This window comes from Homo sapiens, chromosome 22, assembly GCF_000001405.40.
Source record: "Homo sapiens chromosome 22, GRCh38.p14 Primary Assembly".
Lineage (NCBI taxonomy): Eukaryota > Metazoa > Chordata > Mammalia > Primates > Hominidae > Homo > Homo sapiens.
In genome coordinates, this window is record NC_000022.11 from 27,717,077 (window position 1) to 27,736,662 (window position 19,586).

Genomic DNA, 19,586 nt, shown 5'->3' on the forward strand with positions numbered 1-19,586 from the left:
CACAGTTCCACAGGCTGTACAGGAAGCATGGCTGGAAAGCCTCAGGAAACTTACGCTCATGGCAGAAGATGAAGGGGAAGCAAGCACATCTTTACCATGGGGAGAAGGAGAGCAAGGGAGCAAAGAGGAAAGTGCTACACACTTTTTAACACCAGATCTCACGAGAACTCCCTCACTATCACGAGAACTCCCTCACTATCACGAGAACTCCCTCACTATCACGAGAACAGCAAGGGGAAAATCCGCCCCCACGTTGCAATCACCGCCCACCAGGTCCCTCCCCTAACACTGGGGATTACAAATCAACATGAGATTTGGGTGAGGACACAGAGCCAAACGGTATCACTGTCCCTCCTCTGAGTTAATCCCAGCAACCCAGGTGGCTTCTCCATACCTGCCACCCTCATCCCAACTCCCAGTTCTTGTTGGAAGTGATGTTTAAAACAAACAGCACTGGCCGGGCACGGTGGCTCACGCCTGTAATCCCAGCACTTTGGGAGGCCAAGGCAGGGAGATCACAAGGTGAGGAGATCAAGACCATCCCGGCCAACGTGGTGAAACCGCATCTCTACTAAAATACAAAAAATTAACAAGCATGGTGGCGTGCGCCTGTAGTCCCAGCTACTTGGAAAGCTGAGGCAGGGGAATCACTTGAACCCGGGAGGCAGATGTTGCAGTGAGCCGAGATCGCGCCACTGCACTCCAGCCTGGCGACAGAGCAAGACTCCATCTCAAAAAAGCAAACAAACAAACAACAACAACAACAGCACTCTGCCAGGTAAAGGAAGTTGGAGGAAGGGTGGTCTAAACAGAGGGACTACCACATGCCAAACCCTGGAGTACAGGGCAGCCAGGGCAGAGAGTGGGCAGGGAGTCCCATGAGCAGGGAGCGGCATGAGATGAGGCTGGCAGGAAGGCAGGATTAGAGAACGCAGGGTGGAGAACTTTGTTTTGAAGGCAATGGGAGTGGAACCATGGAAGGGTTTTGAGCAGGGGAGAGCGCTATTGGATCTGTTCTTTTGAAGGAGCACTCTGGCCAAGGTGTGGACAATAGATTGTGGGAAGGAGGCTGGACTGCCAGGGTTCCACCATCCTAAGGCTGGTGGCAGGGGGCAGGCAGCACCATCAGCTCTTGGTGCTCAGTGGAGGTGAAGAGAGGGCACCTGGGACTCAGGTTAGGAGACTGAGTGAATGGTCAGTTCTGGCTGGACTTACTGTCTCTGTCCCTAGGAAACTCCCAGCAAGACAGCTCAGAGTGACGGGGAGCAGAGAGGAAGAGCGGAGTGACTCATCAAAGCCCCACCCAGGCTGCATGCCTGGCTGCTCCAACATCAGCCCGAGGCTTCCACCCAGCTCTGTCTGCCTGAACGTCACTTCCCAGGACGCCTGACGTATTCCTTGCGTGGTGACTTTGACATGAACACTACAAAAAGAGGGGTTTAAAAATAGCCACCTTGTCACGAAGAATAGGGAGGAGAGATACCCCCTCCCCACGCAAAGGAATGAGATGGAGAGTCACCCAAGACTTCTTGGAGCTGTGCCCATCAACGCCACTCCCTCCTCCACACTTTGCACCTGATCAGGACCACTTCATGGAGATTTACTGAGGCCCCATGCTCAGGAGTCTTTCTGCTGCTTTAAACAAGTCATCTCTGTGCATCAGTGTTGTCTGCCTCCTTCATTCTCTCTCTTCCCAGGACTCAGCAAAGCTGAGAAAAACAGCTCACAGGGCTACCTGGTGACCCAGGAGACCCTGCCAGGGCATTGCTTTGAGCCTGGCTCTGTACACATGTGCACCTGGCTTCAAATTTTCTCCCTCTCCCTCCCTTGCTGGGTGATCTTGAGCAAGTGATTTGACCTCTCTGGGCCTCAACTCCCATATCTGTAAAATGGAGCCCAAAACACAGGAAGAACAGAGAGGCATGGGAGGCATGGGGGTGGTACCTGGAAAGCTGGAGCTGGAATCTCCCACGTCCACTAGACAGGTCCAGCGAGTACCTACTTTCCATCCAGACACTCTGCAGAGCACACACCCCTTGGGGACAGCTTGAGTGCCTTCAAGCAGTTTGATTAATGTTCCATTTAGTGCAATAAACAATACAATTACTCAACTCCTGCAAACTCTACTCTGAGTGCAGTGCGCAGGCTAGGATGGGGCTTTGGAGTCATCCTTGCTATTAATTACAGGTACTTAAGCACAGCTGTAGAAAACCAATGTCACACCTTCTCTGTGGCTGAAAGGGTGGATGCAGGGAGTGGACAAGAAGGTGTCTCAGGGTCCACCATCGTGGCATCCAACAAAGGAGACACAGAAATGGCTTAAGGAAGACATTTCCTCCCTCCTTTCTCTCCCACTGTCCCTATCTGTTCTCTCTGTCACGATAAATCTGCAGGACAAAATAATGACATGTCCTCAGTGGTGCCCATGCTAAGCATTTATTTATTGCTTGCACATCAAGGATGCTTGGCCAGGTGGCTCTGCCAGTCATGGCTGCATTTGCTGTCATGTCCGGGGCTTGGCTGGCTGTCGGTTGGTCTAGGCTGGCTTCAGCTGGAACAACTTGAGTAACTCGGTTCTGTCCCCCACATGCCTCTTACCCTCCCGCACGCTAGCCCAGGCATGTCCTTCTCTTGGCAAGGGCAGAAGGCAAGAGCAAACGAGCTCAGTCACAACAGGACTTCTGAGTCCTGCTGCTAACATCCCATTGGCCAAAGCAAGTCACATGGCTGAGTCCAAAGTCAGAAGAGGAGGACACTACAGGGTCACATGGCAAAGGGTGTGAACACAGGGAGGGGTGGGAAATGGGACCGTTATTGTAATCAGCCTACCAAGCTGCCTAACCTCTTCCTGGTCCAAAAACAGAGCTGAGAAAGGGAGAATAGGCACCAGAGAAAAGCCTTTTTATAGCGAGATAGAATGTTTTGTGTGTGGTTTTTGTTTTGTTTGGTGTTTGAGACAGAGTCTTGTTCTACCACCCAGGCTGTCACCCAGTACTATGATGTAATCACAGCTCACTGCAGCCTCAACCTCCTAGGATCAAGCCATCTCAGCATCCCAAGTAGCTGGGACCACAGATGTGCACCACCATACCCAGCTAATCTTTTTTCCTATATTTTTAGTAGAGGCAGGGGTCTCCCTATGTTTCCCAGGTTGGTCTCGAACTGCTAGCCTCAAGTCATCCTCCTACCTCAGCCTCCTGAGTAGCTGGGACCACAGCTGCATGCCACCATGCCCGGCTAATTTTTTTTAAAAAATGTTTTAGTCCGGGCACGGTGACTTACACCTGTAATCCCAGCACTTTGGAAGGCTGAGGCAGGTGGATCATGAGGTCAGGAGTTCACAACCAGCCTGGCCAAGATGGTGGAACCTCGTCTCTACTAAAAAAAAAAATACAAAAATTAGGCGGGCATGGTAGTGGGTGCCTGTAATCCCAGCTACTCAGGAGGCTGAGGCAGAGAATTGCTTGAACCCGGAAGATGGAGGTTGCAGTCAGCCAAGATTGCACCACTGCACTCCAGACTGGGCGACAGAGCGATACTCTGTCTCAAAAACAAAAAAAATTTTTTTTTAGTAGAGGTGGGTCTCATTATGTTGCCCAGGCTAGTCTCGGACTCATGGCTTGAAGTGATCCTCATGCCTTGGCCTCCCAAAATCCTGAGATTACAGGTGTTAGCCACCATGCCCAGCCTAGAATATTAACTGACAGGAGTATATTAGGACTGTGCAAAGGACATGAAATCCAGCATCTAAAGGGCAGAACTGAAGGTTGGTTTTGTGTGTTCTGCAGCAGAATGAGGAGCACACATTTTTTTCATCAAGTTTGAAAAGCAAAAATCTAGGCATGTTTGGTTTGCTTCTATTCAACCAATGCTGAGATTTCAATCATGGAATCTCTGGCAATCTAAAACAAATGGCCCATTAGGAAGTTGTTGCCTGGGGAGTCCTTATTGAGCCTCTGGCTTGCCTCGGCGAGGCTCTCATGCAGAACGCTGCCATGGGCCAAACCCATGGAGGAAACTGCACCTCTCCTGAAATGTGAGTCATCCTGAGAGCTGGCACGGGTGACCCCCATTCCAGAGAGGTTAATTACAAGATCTTGGACCCAGAGCTAGAACTCCAGCTACCCCCCAACACCCCCCCCGCCACAATAAGAAAGCCAACACTGACAAAGAGAATCTCCTTGAATTCTCCCCACTTTGGGAAGTAGGTACTATTTTTGTCTACATTTTATAGGTGATGAAACTGAGGCTGAGAAAGGAAGATTGGCAGCTGGCAATAAAGTGGGAGCCAGGATGCAAGCTCAGGAGGTCTGATACCAGAACGTTTGCTGCTGTGTCCCAAGCCTCCCTGCAGTGGAAATGCACAGGAGATGCCAGGCCTAAGCTGGCTGTTGTAAGCATCCAGCCCAGTCCACAGTGGGTCACAGGAGACCCACAGAGAAGCCCACCTGCAGAGATCTAGTGTCCATGGACTGAGGGCCCAATCAACCTGCTTATCTGCTCAGAGCTCATCAATACAGACTCATACTGTCTCGATTTCTATCTCTTCCTAAATGCCTTTTCCCAGCTTGATACATTAAAAATATATTCTCCAGCTTTCCAACCTAAGCCCCTACCCCTTCTCACTTCCCCTTGGCTTGACTCCATGCCCCAAAATTTCTTAGAAACAACCCCGATTGGGCTGGGCATGGTGGCTCACACCTGTAATCCTAGCACTTCTGAGGCCAAGGCGAGTGGATCATGAGGTCAAGAGGTTGAGACCATCCTGGCCAACATGGTGAAACCCCGTCTCTACTAAAAATACAAAAATCAGCCAGGCATGGTGGCGGGCACCTGTAATCCCAGCTACTTGGGAGGCTGAGGCAGGAGAATTGCTTGAACCCAGGAGGCGGAGATTGCAGTGAACTGAGATCGCGCCACTGCACTCCAGCCTGGCGACAGAGGGAGACTCCATCTCAATAAAAAAAAGAAACAACCTCAGTTGGATTCACTCACAAGAACGTCTCTGTATCCATTAGATTTTGCTATGCAACAAACTATATCAAAACTTGCTGGCTTAAAACAAGAAACATATTTAGCTCACAATTCTGCTGATCTGCAGTTGGGCTGAGCTCAGTATGGCTGTTCTTCTGGTCATGACTGGGCTCACTCCTATATCTGCAGTCAGCTACCAGGTGGGTCAAGGCTGGCCTCAACTAGGACAGCTTGGCTCTCATCCTCCATCATGTTACCCCAGGCTTATTTTCATGGCAGATGCAGGTTTTGAGAAGGAATAGAAACTGAAAATTTCCTTTAGGCCCTACTTGGTAGCACAATGCCATTTCTGCCACACTCTACTGGCTAACACAAGTCCAGTGCTATGGACTAAATTGCTTCCCTCCAAAATTCATATATGATGCCCTAACCTCCAATGTGACTATATCTGGAGACAAGGTCTTTAAGAGGTGATTAAGGGTAAACAGAGTCATAAGGGAGGGGCCCTAATCCAATCAGACTGTGGCCTTATAAGAAAATTAACAGAGAGATCTCTCCCTCTCTCTACCACATGAGGACACAGTAAGAAGGTGGCTGTCTGCAAACTAGGAAGAGATCCCTCACCAGCATCCAACCATGCTTGGCACGCTGATCTCAGACTTCCAGGCTCCAAAACTATGAGAAAATAAATTTCTGTTATTTAAGCCACCCAGTCTATGGTACTTTGTTCTGGCAGCCTGGGCTAATTAAGACATCCAGAGTCAAGACATGGGGAATAGATTCCATCTTTTGATGGAAGGAGCTGCAAAGCCACATCATAAAGGGGCATAGATAAGAGAAGGAGTGGGTAAAGAGAAATTGAGGACTTTTCCAATCAGTTTAACACCACAGAGCCTACAAAGTAGAATTTCTGTGCACCAGCTTTGAAATAACACAGTCATTGTGGCTCTGCCATTTTCTAGCCACTTGGTATTTGGTAAGTCACTCAACCTCCCTAAGCCTCTACGTATTCATCTGCCAAATGGGAATAAAAATAGTGTCTACCTCATAGGACCATCATGAGAACTAAAAGAGACAACATGTTTGAAGTGATTGCCACCCTGTAGGTGCTCAATAAATCTTTGCTCTTCATCATCAATACCACCTGCACAGACTAGTAACATGGAGGTTGAAAACTGGACCTGAGTTTAAATTCTAGCTCTGTCATTTGTCAGCTGTGTGACCTGGAGTAAGCCCCTTGACCCTCTGCACCTCTATTCCCGTATCTGCAAAATGGAGAAAATAATAAACACTACCTCCAGGGGCACTGTAGGATTCAGTATAATAATTTCTAAGAGAAGCTCAGCTCAGTAGCTGGCACAGCATTGAGTTCTTGGGAAATTGACATGATTATGATTATTGACATCTGTAAATAGGAATACCCATCTCAAGAGTGGCTCTGAGGAACAACAAGGGTAATGAACCACACAGCACCTTGGAAGCCAGGAAAGGCTTGCATTTATCAATATGGTTTTAGTTGTATGAGACAGAAACACAAATCCAGTTAGTTTAAGCAAAACAGGAGTTGTTCTTAGCTCTTGTTACCAAAAATTCTGTGAGAAGGACAGGTGTGAGACAGGCTCCCAGGATGCCAACCTCATCTAGACATTGCCTTTGACTTCATCTGCCTCTCTTTTTACTGGTCACTTTCTTTTTTCCTTATCTTCACAGAGTGGGGGACACAGCCACAGACAGCTCAGGACTCATCTTCATGGAGGAAAAGGGGCTGCCTTCATCCAGCCCAAGGGCAAAAATCCCAGAGAAGAGCTCCGATTGGCCCACTAAGAGTCACATGACCATCTTTAGCCCAGTCACAGCAGTCAGAGAGTGGGATAGTATGATTGGCAGCCCCCAGCAGAAGCACTTATTGAGAAGAGGAAGAACAGATGCCTGGAAGGAAAGGACGGTTGTGGGATTGGTGGGGGTATATTCTGTGTAGATGAAACAAAAAGGCCTGCTTTTGATGCAGAACAGGTGAGCCCCAAAATTTGGGCTTAGCCTGGGAGGGTTCTTCCCTTTGCCTAGGAAAGAATTCAAGCACAAGCCAGTGGTGGTAAACAGCAGCTTTAATTGAAGTGTCAGTGTGCAGCAGCAGAGGTACTGCTCTTTGCAAAGCAGGGCTACCCCATAGGCAGTGTGCCCAGAGTAGCAGCTCAGAGACAGTCCTACAGTCATATTTATACCCACTTCTCATTACATGCAAATTAAGGAGCAGTTTATGCAGAAATTTCTAGGAAAAGGATGGTAACTTCTGAGTCGTTGGGTTGTTGTCATGGAAAGGGGCATAACTTCTAGGTGTTGCCATGGCAATGGTAAACTGAGATGGCACACTGGTGGGTGAGGGGAGTCTTGTGGAAAGCTGCTTCCATCCTGGCCCTGTTTTAGCTAGTCTTCAATTTGGTCCAGTGTCTGAGCCCCACCTCTGGAGTTGAGTTCTGCCTCCTACTTCAGTTTGGCTCTGTTCCATTCCCTCCAAATCTGCTTTCCCCATTTGACAGTAGAAACCCTTAAGGCTCAGCCAGGTCAAGAGACTCAGGTCACACGAAGTAGGAAAATGTAAAAATAACTTCTAAACTTCACTCTTGACACTATGTGATGCTGTGCCATTTGGAAGGGTCCCTTTTGCCTACGCAGCCCTGCTCTGCACGTCACCCAGCCTGGCCCAATTTCCCTGCATCTTGGTCTCTGTCCATGTGTCCTTGGCACACATATGGAATGAGCTATGGCATTCAGTTGCTCCCTCCCGGACCAGTTGCCACAGCCCGGTACTGCAGGCCCATTCAGCTGAGTCTTGGAGTTGTCAAACATCTCAGAAGCAGTCACCTACATATTTCAGGTCCAGCCAATGCAGCCTGCCTTTGTCCAGCACCATTTGCTGCATATTTCAAGAGAAATTAGATCCACATGACCAAATTCCTCCACACTCATCTCACTCAGGCCAGGGTTTGGCATGAAAGGGCTGTGGGCTGTGGAAAGGTTTCCCTCCCTCCTGCTTGGGACCAGAGCACAGCTACTGATGCGAAGGGGATGACAAGCCCCCAGCCGAAAGTGCAACCAGAGCCTTCAAAGGCTTAGCCCATAGGGTCAGAGCAGGACAAGGGCCTAGGAAGAGAGAAACCTGACATCTCAGCACCCTGGGCACAGGGGAAGGCTAGGGTACAGCCCTTCCCAGCTGCTGGCTGGAAACAGGATGCATGGAGTCCAGAGCTCAGTGCTCAGAAGTCAGGCCAGGCCAACCTGGCACCCCAGCCCCACTCTGCCACTCTGTAGCCAGGTGGCCATAGGCAAGCCTCAGTTTCCTCATGTGAAAAATGGGGATTAAAGTGGTGTCAATCCCACGGGAAAGTGGTCTCATAATGACATTGAGGTGAAGAATGCAAAAGTAAATGTCAGTTGGTACTATTATTATATTGTTACCACCATCATCATCACCTTCATCAGCACCATCACCATCATCATCATTAAAATCATCACCATCACCACCACCATTATCACCACCATCGTCATCACTATTTTCTTCACCATATGGTTACCATCATCATCACTATTACCATTATGCAAAACTTAGTGGTTAGGCCAGGTCTGATGACTTCATCACCACAACCACTGTCCTCCTGCAGATCACCATCATCTTTAGCCTGGAGTACTGATAGAATCCTGTAACTGCCTAGCTGCCTCTAGTGTCACTCCCTCCAAAACCCTTGCTTCTGCTCAAAGCCATTCCATCATCCATAGAGTAAAGCCCAGGCGCTTTCACGTGGCATCAGGGGACTTTCCCCTTGTGCCCCTTTCTGCCTTATCACTCACACCTACAGTCACATCAAGTGGTTCCCCTTTCTACAAAATGTGCCACGCTTCCCTATGTTTCCAGTACTATACACCAGCTGTTCCCGCCACACAGAATATTCTTCCCAGTTGCCTCTCAAGCTCCCAGTGACCTTTCAGGGTTCAGCTCAAATGGCTCCTCGACAAAACTCCACTCTATCCTAGCTGGACAGCATTGCCCGTAGAAGGCTCTGGACTTCTTTGTCAAAAAGGGAGACAAGCATGAGTTGGAGACAGGTGTAAAAGAGGTATCAGCACCAACAGGAGTCTTTCCCTGATGCCATGAGAGGAATTGGGAGGAAATAGCTGTCTCAATGGGGAATTCAAAATTATTTATCTCACGTCCCACTAAGGGGAATGCACCCAGCCCTTCAGGACGCACTGGCATGCATGATGTACCAGGGAGGGGCTCCACACAGAAGTCTACCTCCCCCACGATCCTCTCTGAGCAGAGCCAGCCCCACATTTGTAGGGGACGTGCCTGTTTTATGGCTGAAGTTATATAACTCATCCTTCTCTGAAGCAGACATTCTTAGTTCAAACCCTGACCCCACCCCTTCCCGTCTATTTGAAAGACTTAGTTTCCTTGGCTATACAATAGTTGGTTGTGCTCAAGGACCTCTGGGAACCCTTCCTGTCCTAAGCAGAGAGACAATAGCCTGTGAATCTGGCAGTCCTGTATTCCATCTGACAGATCCGTCCACCCTTAACGTGAGAATAGGAGTTACCCTGCAAGTGTGCTGGAAGTTCCAGCCCTCTGCTTGCTGTGAGCAGGCTCTGAGCCTCGGTGTCCCTAGCAGGGCAGATAATGGGCTTTCCTCTTGCACAGGACTCTTGTGAAGTCTGAATGGCTCTTTCTGAACATGGAGCCAGGCACAGGGGATGCCCCTGTAGCCCTAGTTGTGCATGACTCACGACTCTTATCCATTCCACAACAAGAGCCCAGCCCCAGTGGCCTCTGGCTGGGAGGGGGTTGGAGAGTGAGTTCAGGGAAGCTAGACGCCAGGAAGGGCCACACCCAGTGCCTATTGCTCTCCCCCAACCCCCCACACTCTTTTAAATCTGCAGCCTGCGTGACAGTGCATTTGGCTGGATCCTTAAAAAAATAATTTCAGAGAAAATGCAAATGACACAGGAAAACAAGTTGCAGATGGTGCGTGACTCCCACAAGAGCACCGCCCTGGCTCCTCCCGGGTCCTTCAGCAGCGCCCCTGTTGTCCACCCCCCACCAAGCTGACTTATGGTGTTCCTTAGGGTGGCCCAGGGGAGCCAGCCATGCGGGAAGGGCCCGGCCTCTTTCTTGAAAGGAAGAAAGGAGGGAGGGGGCGGAGCTGTCTACCACCTGCTGGCCGACCCTGCTTCAAGCCATCTCAGCTGCACACCTCCTGGGTGTCAGGCCCTGCCCTGGCGACACCACTAGGATTTGATCTGATCCCTCTGCCCCAGGAAGGAGGCAGATACCTTTAAACTTCAGTGCCTTAGGGAACTATGCTAAGGGAGGCTTGCCTGCTTCATTGATCCACCTCCTACCAGTCTTTCTTTTCTCCTTGTGCTCCAGTCACACTGGCCAACTTGTTGTTTCTTCACACACATCAAACTCTCCCTACCTCTAGGCCTTTGCACTTGGCTTCCTCTGCCTGGAAGGAGTTCTCAAATCCTTCCTCTTCCAAAGACCTTCTCTGATCACCCACTACATAGTAGTCCCACCCCATCATTCTTTATTAAAGCACACAGTTCGTGTCCTTCATAACTGTTTTTACAATTAATAACAATGTACTGGTTTGTGTTTCCTTGTCAATTGGTGGCAACAAGTCAGTGTATTCATCAGTGTTTCCCCAGGGTCTACCACGATGCCTAGAATATGAAGGTGCTCAAATATTTGTAGGAGGGAGAAATGAAATGTTCCTTGTTGGGTGCTTGAAAAAACAAAGAGGCATTTGAGCAGGGTTCTGAAGGATGTTTAGGAGTTCATAAGCAGGGGGGAAGGTAATGGAGGCAGATGAATAAAATGAATGAAATGGAGGCAGATGAATGAAAGAGCAGGGAAACTTGAGCATGCGGGCCTAAACATGAGGTTCAGGGCCCACAGGTGAGCTTCAAATGGCGTGGACTTAAGCCCAGCTCCCCCATTCACAATGATCCTGGGGTTGTAACTTCAGCTCCCTGAGCTCTGTTTCCTCATCTCTAAAACAATAGGGTTGGGTAAGGATTTGTAGAAAAGATACACGGGCTTGGCACACTACTGGACATATAGTCAGTGGGATAAACAAGGCAGCTGCTATTTTCATGCAGGGATTCAGCAGAGGGACTTCTAGGCCCCAGGCTAGGAGAGAGAGAGAAGGGAGGGAGGGAGGGTGGGAGAAAGAAGGAGACAGAGAGAGGAAGAGAGGGAAAGAGAGAAAGAGAGAGAGAGGTGGAGAGAAAGAAAGAAAGAAAGAGAAAAAGGGAGGGAGACAGAGAGAGAGAGAGAAAGAAAGAGAGAGAGAGAAAGAAAGAGAGAAAGAAAGAAGAAAAAGAAAAGAAAAAGAGAAAAGAAAAGAAAGAAAAACAGAAAAAGAGAAAGAAAGAAAAAAGAAAAAGAAGAAAGAAAGGAAGTAAGGAAGGAGAAAGAAAGAGAAAGAGAGAAAGAAAGAAAGAAAGAAAGAAAGAAAGAAAGAAAGAAAGAAAGAAAGAAAGAAAGAAAGAAAGAAAAGGAAAGGAAAGGAAAGGAAAGGAAAGGAAAGGAAAGGAAAGGAAAGGAAAGGAAAGGAAAGAAAAGAAACCTGAGACATCTAGGCCATCAGCAGGGCTGTGAGGAATTCCTTCAGCTTCATGCAGAGAGCCAAGTTCCAAGTCGAAATCGTGGCTGGGGGCCTGGGCCAAAGAACTGGGGGGATAGAATTTGGAGTCACATGACCCTTGAGCAATGCTTTGAGAGACTCTGGCTTAAACCTCCATCTTTGCCTTCACCTAGTCCTCAAGGTTCCAGGCTTTGGTAGTTTCTGCTGAAACTCTTTCAGCTGCCCTTTGCCCAGGCTGCAACCTCTTCCAGAAATGCCCTTTCTCCAGCTGTTGAAACTCCCAGCAAATTTGCAGCCATCTCCATGGCACTTCAGTCAGGCGCTAGCACTAATGCCCAACCCTCTGGCCACTTACAGGACAACCATAGTCCTGACGTTTGTCTCAGGGTCTGAAAGTTTCCAATCAGTGCACTTAGGCTAGGAATAGAGAATCCCATCCACCAAACTAGAAGTTCCTCAAGGAGTGGGATCAGGTTCGCCTTGCCCAGCACGCAGGAGGTGGTGGTCAGCTAATGTTTGTTGAATGAATAAATAAGCAAATGCTTGAACTGTAGAAGGCAGGGGAAATGAGCTTAACCCCACCTCTGCCTTCACCAATACCCCTTCCCCATGACGCAAATCTTATTTCCAATCCAATCAGGAGAAAACTGAGGTTCAGGGAGGTCCTAGTTTGGCCATCTCTGATCTCATCTGAGTCTGTCCCTTTCTGAGTCTGTTTCCCCATCTGTATGGGAAGTAGCACCCCTGGTGCAGGGCCAGCTTCATGAGTGTGTGACGGGGGCAGTCATAAGCCGGCTGTGTCTAAGACTAGGTGGGAGTGGTGACGTCCCCAGAAGGCCCCACTCTCCATGCACTTTTCCTTACCCTGAAGGCAGAAAGAGGCAATGATGTTCTAAGACACACAAAGGACCAATGTTTACTTAAAGGACTCATGTTTACTTCTGCAGGAAAAGAATGAAGGGAAGAGGAAGACAGAGCAACCCACAGTTCCTTCTTTCAGCCTTTCCTCACTCTTCAGTAAGCCAAAAGTAGAGAGTGTTAGTACAGTATGCATGTGGCAAGAAGTGAAATAAAAACAGTTGATTTGGTCAGGCTCAGTGGCTCACACCTGTAATCCCAGCACTTTGGGAGGTCAAGGCAGGAGGATCACTTGAGGCCAGGAGTTTGAGACTGGTCTGGGCAACATAGCAAGACACCCACCTGAACAAAAAATTTAAAAATTTAGCCCAGGTAGGGTAGCGTGTGCCCATAGTCGTAGCTACTCAGGAGGCTGAGGCAGGAGGATCTCTTGAGCCCAGGAGTTTAAGGCGGCAGTGAGCTAGGATAGCACCACTATACTCCAGCTGGGGTGACAGACCAAGGCAATGTCTCAAAATAACAATAACAATAATAATAGTAATAATAATAATAATAACAGTTGAGTTAGTTTTGAGCAGCGTTTCTGCCATTCTGGTAATAATGAAATGCCTGTGTGTGTGCAAGCTATAAATATGAATTTTGTCATTTCAGTGATTCCGCTTACAAGTTAAATGCTCTAATATTTGCGCTTAAAACAGGCATTGTATAATATAAAGATGAGTGGTAAAATTCATGCTAATAACTTATAAAAGTTTAATTTTTCTTTACTTAGAAGGATATTAAATAGCAAATAAAAAATGCCATGACAAGGCAAGAGAGAGAGACTACGGAAGAAAGGAAAAAGTCTTTATATTTTAGTACATTTCTTAATGCCATTTTTCTCTGCTTTTTGAACAAGGGGCCTGGAATTTTTTATTTGTTTTTCTTAGAGAAAAGGTCTCACTTTGTCGCCCAGACTGGAGTGATGTGGCACAATCATAGCTCACTGCAGCCTCCACTCCTGGCCTCAAGCCATCCTCTTGTCTCAACCTCCCAAGTAGCTGGGACTACAGGTGCACGCCGCCACGTGCAGCTAATTTTTCTATTCTATTATTTGTAGGGATGGAGTGTTGCTGTGTTGCCCAGGCTGGTCTTGAACACCTGCCCTTAAGCGATCCTCCTGCCTCAGCCTCTGAAAGTGACCCATGACAAATGTAATCCAAAAAGCCTGTGTTTTTATTTCGTACCAAGGCCTGCAAATGATGTGGCCAACCTGCCTTGAAATGGCAAGAAGCCCAGCCCAACCACATCTGAGCTCACAGCTCACAGCCCTTGATCCCCCACCCCCATGTGACACTGGCCTGGCCACCTCTCCACCTCCCCAGCACAAGAGGTCATCAGGCTCCAGGACGGAACAGTTGAGCGGTCGGGGAATCTCTCAACCTGGGATATGCCGCCTGCCTAGAAGACCTAATTCCAGAGTCTACATCCAGTGGGGTAAGTCAGAGGGTCTGGACAAGGGCCTGGGCCTCTGGGGTTTTTTAAGTGTCCCCATGTCCCCAGCCCCGAGTGATACAGATGCTTTCTGAAGGGGGAAATCCCTGCTCCAAGCTCCAGGGAGAAAAGCCACTTCATTCTGGAGCCTGAGCAGCTCTAGGTCCCTTCCACACCCATCAGAGAATTCAGTCCTTCTGGAAGGCCTTCAGTGGGAGCCATGGAGCCCATTATACAGCTGACAAAACTGAGGCCTCCAGAGCCACCTGGCTTGCCTAAGGCCACGCAAGGAGCAGAAAGTCCAGTGGAATTCCAACCCAGGATCTTCCGATACTCTGGAGTCACACAAAGCATTCTTCTAGCCCAGGGGGAGCCAGGCTCTGGGGATCACAGAACTCAGGCTGTGGGCACCCGCTGCAGGTCCCTTCACGCCCTGGCCTATTCCCTTATCTTCAAGTCGGCCATGTCAGGAGCCCTTCACCATCCCATCCCCATGCCCACCTTTAACTCAACACGGGGAAAAGATTCTAAGAAAACACAAGTGTTCTGGATGGATAGCACTGGTTCAGATCCTGGCTACTGACCCTGGGCAGATGCTCTCCTTCCACACTGGCTTCCTCATGTGTAGCAAGGCTTGATGCTTCCACAAACCCCCAGGCCCACGTAGACACAGGTGTAGACATTGCCCCACACTCCCCATCGTGAGCCCCATGGGACAGGGGCTTTGCTCCGTCTACCAGTGAATCAATCCCCCAAGCCTGAAACAGAATCTGGCACACAGCAGATGCTCAATAAATATTTGCTGAATGAATGAATGAATGAATGAATGATGGCAGTAAAAGTTCACACTCTATTATGTGCAATCCTAAAATCTAAACCAGCTCTCAAAACAGAGAGATCTTCTCAAACTCATATGCCTGAAGGTCTTTATTTATCCCAACCTAATGTGAATATTCCACTGAGTTCTCATATTGGATTTCAGCCTCCTGGGGATGTCACAGAGCACATACTCTACAGCCCTGGCTTGCTCACCTTTCTGGGTTCTCCAAGATTCTGAGTTTTAAGATACAGCTGGCCCCAGGGAGTTCCAGTACACCATGATGATCTCTGTATCTATATCATCAATATCCAACCCCACACTTCATGACCAGAACAGTTAGAGGTAATAACCAGCCACTGAAAACAGTGCACGTTATCTCACTGTCCCCCAGTCATCTCCATCTCACAGATGGGTAAATCGAGGCTCCCAGAGTCAAGATCCTAGAGTTCAAGCCAGGTTTGCATGGCAGAAGCAGGATTTGAACCCAGCCCCTGTGGGCTCCTGCCTTATCAGCTCCCGTCTGTTGCTCTGCCCACCTCTTCCCTCCCCACATTTGTTCTCCAAAGGGCTCAGAGCTCCTGCAGGTCCCTTCCTGGGACAAAGCCATAAGGGGTGGGGGCTGCTTGGGGTGCCCAATGGGGGCTCCAGTAGCATGGTTGGAAAGAATGAGCCCTGTGGGTGAGATTTCCGTGGGGTCAGACTCCTCCAACCTTTCAGGAGGGGCTGAAATGGTGGGGACAAAGGCTGCAGCCACAGCACACACTGAAACTGATTTGAGCAGTCCCCAAGGCTCACCAGCCTCCACCCCACCAGCCTGACCTGGAGAGGCCAGAGAAGCAGGAGTTCCCACCTCGCCATAGGAGGGAGGCTGCCAGGAGCTCCTTTCTGGGCCCAGGATCTCAGCCTTGTGCCACCCAGGAGCAGGGAGCCATGAAAACCAGGAGCCTCTTTCTGTCTCAGCCTCTCCTCCCTGCCTCCCTAGCAAACAGCAGCCAGAATAACAGGAAAAGAGTTGGCCTGGACCTGCAGGAATAGGGGGCTTGGGGTGGGGGTGGGAACAGGGCATTTATCCAGCACTTACTGCATGCGGGACACAGAACAGGGCAGGGAGAGCAAAAAAGACCTGGCCGCTTGGACCCTGAAAGACCCAAGTTAGGTTGTGTTCTGCCCTTGACTGGCTGTGTGGCCTCAGGCCAGTGGCTGTGCCTCTCTGAACCTCATTTTTATCCCCCAGTGGAGGCTTTGGAGCTAGCCCGACCTGGCCCTGTGAGGCACGTGCTCTAGCCGCAGTCTGATTGAATCCTCATTACCCCAAGAGGGGAGCTGCCACTGTCTGCCAGGGTGACCTCTGTCAACACTCTTCACCTCTCTGTGTCTCCGTTTCTTCTTCTGGAAAATAGAATTCCTAATGCAGTCTGGCTCCTAGGCTGTGAATATAACCCATCAGTGAATGTACAATGCTTGGATCAGGTCTCTGCATGTAGCAGGCATCATACATGTGTTTCCCATTATTGTTAATTACTAGTCCCCCCATTTTGCAAAGAGGAAAACTGAGGCACAGAATGGTTAATCCTACCACCAACAGCTGCTGACAAGTACCAAATGTTCCCTCAGAGCAGACCTTGTGCAAGGCCTTTTTACTGCATTTAAGTTAATTTCCACATTATATGCAGAAATCAGCCCCATTTTGCAGGTGAGGAAACTGAGGCTTGGAGAATGGCCACTCAGATCATTAGCAGGATATAGAGCTGATGAGCTGTCTCCTACCCAGACACCCTACCTTGGTATAATAAGATTAACGCCCACTGCCAGACCCAGGCTCCAGTCCCTCCTAGGTCCTCCCTCCCTGTAAAAAAAACAAGGTGACCACAGGGCCTTGCTGGGTGGGGGCAGGGTTATCCCTGTTTGCTCAAATCCCTACAAAGCTGCCAACAGGAGAGACTCCCTTGCCAGGCCACAAGCTTGGAGCTCAGAGTTTCCCAAATGTACATCCAGCCAGCCATTCACCTCCTGGACAAACTTGGCCAAAAGACTGCACATCCCCAAGCTTCAATTTCCCATCTGCAAACAAGGAAGGATTGTGAGGCCTTTGCTTGCATGGCTGCCTGAGCGTTGATTGTGCAGTGAGCGGCTCACCAGCACTTCGTGCATGGTAGGTAATCGACAACCTCTAGCTGCATAGGTTCTGATACCAACTAAGGGGATCAGGAGTGTCCTCCCACCCCCAGCTGCAGTTTACCATTTTCAACATCCCCCTTTTCATCTTAATCTCAGGTAAGTCTTGCCTTGAGAGGTATCTGGGACGGGTGCCAGTTTAAGCCCATCTGTAAGATGAGGAAACTGAAGCCTAGGGTGGGGACCCTCAGTGCGGGCTTACTTGCATCATCTGTCCAAACCCCACCATGTACCCTGCCCTGCCGGGACAGGGCCTTCTGGCAGCTGCAGAGCAACAGGCAGAGGTTTGGATGGGGAGGTGGATGGACCTGGGTTCCATCAGTTTTGTGTGTGACCCCCAAGGCAAATCACTCCCTATCTCCAAGCCTCTGTTTCCTTCCCTGGAAAATGGGGTTGTTCCATGAGAAGTCCCTGGACATGTACTCCATGAGTGGCAGCTCGTGTCAGAGGCAGCACTTGCAATTCCCTTCCCCATCCCAGCAAGCCAGGATCGGTAGTGGAAACCCCAGACGCATTATAACATGGAGCTCCCAGCTCAAGTGAGGGAAGCAGCACGACCATTCCCTTATGGATCTGAAGGTCTCCTTTCCTGCATCCCTGGCCCCAGCACTGTCCCCTCGGGCCCATCCACTTCTGCACACACAGATCCTTGTGTCACCTTACTTGGTAAAATAAAGTGAGATGAGTGGCTGACACCTAATGAGCTTTGTTGAATAAAGACAGAGAACCCGGGAAATAGATGAGGCCCAGGTAATGAGGTAGCAGATGAGGTCAGGACCAAGGCAGACAACTTCAAGGGGACAGTCTGGGGTCCCAGGAGACAGTGATGAGGCAATGATGGAGCTGGCAGTACACTTCAGCTAGGGTTTTCTTTTTTTTTCTTTTTTTTTTTTTTGAGACGGAGTCTTGCTCTGTCACCAGGCTGGAGTGCAATGGCGTGATCTCAGCTCACTGCAACTTCTGCCTCCCGGGTTCAAGCTATTCTCCTACCTCAGCCTCCTGAGTAGCTGGGATTACAGGCATGCGCCACCACACCACGCTAATTTTTTGTATTTTTAGTAGAATCGGGGTTTCTCCATGGTGGTCAGGCTGGTCTCTTTTTTGTTTTTTGTTTTTGAGATAGAGTCTTGCTCTGTCAGCCAGGCTGGAGGGCAGTGGCACAATCTTGGCTCACTGAAACCTCCATCTCCTGGACTCAAGCAACTCTCCTGCCTCATCCTCCAGAGTAGCTGGGATTACAGGCAAGTGCCACCACACCCAGCTAATTTTTGTATTTTTAGTAGAGATGGGGTTTCACCATGTTGGCCAGGCTGGTGTTGAACTCCTGACCTCAGGTAACCCGCCCGCCTCGGCCTCCCAAAGTGCTGGGATTACAGGTGTGAGCCACTGCGCCCAGCTTGTCAGGCTGGTCTTGAACTCCTGACGTCAGGTGATCCACCTGCCTCGGACTCCCAAAGTGCTGGGATTACAGGCGTGAGCCACCGCACCTGGCACAGCTTGGGTTTTCAAATGCACCAGAGTAAGACGTTCAAGGGATGGAGACTGGATTCTGGAAGGCCCTTCCTATCCTGCACCTTTGCAAACTCTGGGCCTAGTGGAATCGTTATCATCAAGGCCACGTTCATGGTGCCCCAATTTGCCAGGGATGCTCCCACCACAGGGGCTTTGTACATGCTGTTCCCACTGTCCTGATATCTGCGTGGCTCACTCCCCAACTTCCTCAGTCTCTTCCCCTGGCCGTCTTCAGGGAAGTATCTCTGAGAAATCCCCCGTCACCCTCTATTGCCTTCCCCGCTGTATTAGTCTTCATAGCAGAATTCACTCAGGATCTGTTGTGCAGTTTTGTGAGCACAACCATGAGCGGCCCCAGGCGTACGCATGAGCCAGAGTCAGCCTAAGCCATCAGCTCTGGTCCCCAGCCCCAAGCCTAAGGTCTCCATTCATTAACCTCAACAACAGCCAAAGATGGGGAGGGCAGAGGGCATGGAGGAAGCAAGGGGAAACCACCAGTGGCCCCTTTCATTCCACCCATATCTAGTGAGGACCTACTAGTTGCCAGGACCTGTGCCACCTCCTGCGGACCCCGACATGAACAAAACAAGGTTCGTGCTACGTGGAGCTGCTCTCCTCTCCAGTTACCCTGGAGCCAGGCCACAGGATAAGACACAGTGCAAGGGAGGAGGCAAGGAGGGGGGTATTCCATTCTGGCCCTTGCTTTGTTGGTGACCTTGAGCGAGACGCGTGATTCTCTGAGCCTCTGTTTCTTCACGTGTAAAATGAAGAAATTGAGCGACATTTCTCGGAAGTCTGGAGCAGGGTGGCATGCAAGGTGCCCAAATGCAGTCTTAAGCAATTCCCAGCCTCCCAGTGACGAAGTCACTCCTTTTCCAAGTCTTTCCAAGACTTCCTCTTGCTACGTGGAGAAGGTCTCAGCTCAGTGCTGCTAGGTCTTCAACACTCTTGTGAACATGTTGATCGTGTAGAGAGAGTAGGTCTCAGGCCAGAGACCTTCAGCAGACAATGGTGACATTGCCGAGTTTTCAAGGTGTTCAGTGTCTTTTTTCTAGATTCCCTCTCTTATCCATTCTCCTGGGTTCTTATCCATTCTCCAATGTAACCCCAGCTTAAAATCTGTACTCGTG

The 19,586-nt window shown here is 49.6% G+C and overlaps 1 annotated feature.

The window, feature by feature from the left end:
• Nucleotides 672–1,871: an enhancer, noted in NCBI's record as "P300/CBP strongly-dependent group 1 enhancer chr22:28113736-28114935 (GRCh37/hg19 assembly coordinates)". NCBI's record gives its function as "activates an origin of replication core promoter dependent on BRD2, BRD4, P300/CBP, MED14 and CDK7 cofactors, with strong dependence on P300/CBP, by STARR-seq in HCT116 cells {active_cell/tissue: HCT116}" and the evidence as "EXISTENCE:reporter gene assay evidence [ECO:0000049][PMID:35650434]".